Here is a 3685-nt window from a genome sequence, read left to right on the forward strand (position 1 = left end):
TTTTTTGCTGCGGCAACTGTGGGAGCTGACAGTGTTCACAGCCACGCCACGGTCATCATCATAGTCAAGTCTTTCTAAGAGTTTCATTGTGACGAAGCCTCCTATTAAATGGCACCTCGGCCCTGCTTCCTGAGGGTTACTGCTGAGTCCCGGATTTCCCACAGAGGCGAAGAGAGGAGAGCAAAGGGAGGAAGAGGCAGATGAGCTGGGCCCTGCAGAAGGGGGTGCTTGGGTTGGGGTCTGTGGAGCAAAGATCTGGGCTCCTAGGGGCCACGCAGACAACCATCCTCCCTGTTCACACCTTGAAGATCCCAACAGGAGCCAGGTGGGGAGACTGTGAGGAGAGGGCCTGTGTCTTGTCTTCCTTGGGCCATGGGACAGGGTGGAGGTTGAGGGCGTCTTTCCCAGGGGATCACAGAACAGCACCTCTGCTGTGGGGGGCATCTAGCATGGGGGGCTGGGCTGTGGGGTGCAGGGCAGGAGGGGGCATGCATGGGAGGGGTGTGGCCCAGTCATTCCTGCATTCACAATCTTTCTTGTCCTGGGCACCTGCACTAGACCCTGGCCTGGAGGGGCGGCTTCCTAGCCTTCAGCATCCCTGGAGTCTGCTCTGACTCTGGACCTGGGGACAGGAGCCAGGCAGGAGGTCAGCAGCCTCCTAGGACAGCAGGAGGGCCCAGGCCAGTGCCTAGCAGACTTCCACGGGAGAGGGGTCCCAGGGGCGGGGAGATAATGATTTCTAGAAGGGTCTGTGTCTCTGAGTGTGCAAGTTTGTCCAAACTGTCCACCAGCTGTGATCAGGTAAACACAGGCAGACCTGAGTTCAGGTGGAGGAAACAGTTTTGTCATTAACTCTCTACCGACTCTAGGGGAATGAGCCAAGCTCCATTGTCGTCTGTGCAGAGGCCACAGCCTTGAAAAGGGAGGGGGTAGAGGGAGCAGGGAGGGTGCTCGGGGCTCAGTCGTCGGGGAAGGGAAAATTTGCCCAGTGCTGGTCAGCGTCCCTGGGATGGGGCCCGCTGTGTCCGTGCTGGCCACTGTTGAGGTCAGGATTCTGTCCTCCCAGAGCCTGGAGACACAGGCCCCATCCTTCCCAATGGGGACACTTCAGGGAGTGGCTCTCAGGTCCCGAGAAAGACCTTCCTGGCCACAGGAGACACACAGACATCAGGAAGGGACAGAGGAAGGATGTGCAGTTGCAGCCTTTTCAGCAGATGCTCTGAGAATGGGAGGTCAAGAGTTGGAGCAAACGGTCAGTTCTGGTGCATTGAGCTTTCTCAGGCAGGTGTTGATGGGGCTGGGGTCAGCCTAGGGGTGTGACCTGAAGCCACTGGAAGCCTTGCTGGGGTCTGGCTCTCTCTTGGTGCAGGGGGGTGGAGGGAGCCCTGACAATAGAGCACTGGGGGGCCTCCAGGAGACCATCCCTGCAGCAGCCGGGCCATGCTCTGAGGATGTGGGAAGAGGACCCCCACTGTCTCTGAGTAGAGGGTGGTGACTTCTTTGCACAGACTGGCCAGGGGTCCCACAGGGGCACAGTACAGGTGTCCCTGGGCTGCAGGGCTGGGGGACATCAGAGCTGCTCTCTGGGCTTGGCAGCCACCTCAGGTGGGATCAGAAGGGGGGGCAGTGCCTGGTGCTTCCCCTCCAGGCCTCTCTCCATGGTGTCCAGGGTAGCTTCTGGGGCTTTGGTGCCAATTTCTGAGGCCAGGGTCCTACCCTTCCTGATGCCGTGATGCTTGGTGGCTCTGGAGGAAGCCCCAGCTTTGGCCACTCCTGCACTGCCTGGGGCTCCAGTCCTGCTGCGCCTTGAGGGGAACCCAGGGCCCCAGGCTTGGCCCTGTAAGGTCAGATGGGGGCTGGGCTCCAGCATCCTGCCGCTAGGTTTAGTTCCTAAATGACAGGGAGGCAGACTCTGGCTGAGCTCAAGACCTGTTCCCAGGCTCTGTGCCAGAGCAGGGTCCCCCAGCAGAGGCTGTGTGGAGCTGGGCAGGGTTCGCACTTTGTGGGGAGTTCCCTGGACCTGGAGACTCAACCCTCAGCCTCCTTGATGATGAATGATTCATCCTGTGACTGTCTTGGCCCAGACAATCAGGTGGCCTCCTCACCTACCCCTCTTCAGACAGGGCCTCAGACCTAAGGCAGGAGCACCCCCTACACCAGACCTCCTGGGTCACAGGAAATGCACAGACATCGGGAAGGGACGGAGGATGGACGGAGGAAGGACGTGCAGTTGCAGCTCTTTCTGCAGATGCCCTGAGAGAGGAGGTAGGAGCACGCTTGCTGTGGTTTGAATGCTTCTCTCCTCCAAAACTCATGTTGAAATTTCATTGCCATTGTAACAGTATGAAGAGTGATTAGGTCATAAGGTCCCCACCTCATGGGTGGGATTGGCGCTGTTATAAAAGGGTGAGTTCGGCCCCCTCTTGCTCTCTTTCTTGCCTTCTGCCATATGATGACACAGCAAGAAGGTCCTTGCCAGATGCTCCTGGACTTGCTTTGGACTTTCCCTTGCTCTTGGACTTGCTCTGGCACCTTGCTCTTGGACTTCACAGCCTCTAGAACTGTGAGAAATAAATTTCCGTTCAGTATAAACTTCCCAGTCTTGGGTGTTCTATTACAACATCACAAAACAGTCTAAGACAACCCCGTATTCAGACCTAAGGTGAGATAACCCCTACCCATATCTAAGGATCCCCTGCTCCAGATCTTAGTGGTGAGGTCAATACAGGACTCCCTCTGAGGGAAGCCCTGACAGCAGTGCCTGGGAAGGCATCTGTAGGGCCCAGTGGGCCGGGGAGGCCCAGGACACACCTACATCATCTCTCATAATCCCTCCATTCTGTTATAACAGGAGCATATGCTTATAGCATACTTTAAAAATCAGCCCAAAACTGAAGGTAAGCATCAGTTAATTGATGGACTCCTTTTCACGGTTTGGTCTTTGTATTTACACCACAGTCATCTCACAGTGTGTGTTGAGCTTTGCACCCTTTTATCAAATGAGGTCACCCCATGAATGCTGGCTGTCACGTTATCACAGATATGTGACAAGTATAATTGGGAATGTTTGCAGAATAGTCCCATTAATGTATGCACCATAATTTCTTCAGGCACTATCTTGCTTTCAACTATTTTATAATTATAAATAATGGTCTGAAGAATGTCTGTTCACAAAGTGTTTTCCTCATGTGTGCTAGCCACTTGTTTTCTTTTGGAAATTGTGTTATATCCTTTGCTGATTTCTTAAGGGATTTGTTCTTTTTCTTATTAGCTTATGTATGTTGTTTGCCTAATAATGGTACAAGACCTTTACATATTAGATTAATATTATTTGAGTTTATTATTTACTGTTAAGTTTTGATGATTTTTAAATGTAAAGAATCTGTAAAGGTGTTACCTAGCTTCATGATTTGGGTATGCGGTGAAGCCTGCCCAACTTTGGGCAGCTGTCTGGGCCTGTGTTTCCAGAGCTTGAAGGAGTCTCTGCTTCCCTCTGGAGGGCTGGTGTGATAGTGTTCTCTCTCCAGGCCTGGGTGCCCTCCTGGGTCTGGGCTTGGGCTGGGCTCTTAGATGTCTCAGAGGAATTGAGACTCTATTAATCAAGTGAGTCTTTCCATTTCTGGTGAGATGATCATGGGTCATCATTGGCCTGAGTGGTGGGATGAGCTATAAATAGTTCTTAATT

At 53.3% G+C, this 3685-nt stretch overlaps 1 long non-coding RNA gene across 1 annotated transcript; it reads left to right on the plus strand.

Annotated features, from left to right (window-relative positions):
• The first annotated feature begins 1070 nt into the window (after positions 1-1070).
• Positions 1071-3044, plus strand: FAM30B (family with sequence similarity 30 member B). The gene is made up of 3 exons (XR_007064785.1): positions 1071-1262; positions 2120-2265; positions 2462-3044. It is a non-coding gene; the product is annotated as a family with sequence similarity 30 member B (long non-coding RNA).
• The last annotated feature ends 641 nt before the right edge of the window (positions 3045-3685 follow it).

The sequence above is a fragment of the Homo sapiens genome, chromosome 15 (assembly GCF_000001405.40).
Source record: "Homo sapiens chromosome 15, GRCh38.p14 Primary Assembly".
NCBI lineage: Eukaryota > Metazoa > Chordata > Mammalia > Primates > Hominidae > Homo > Homo sapiens.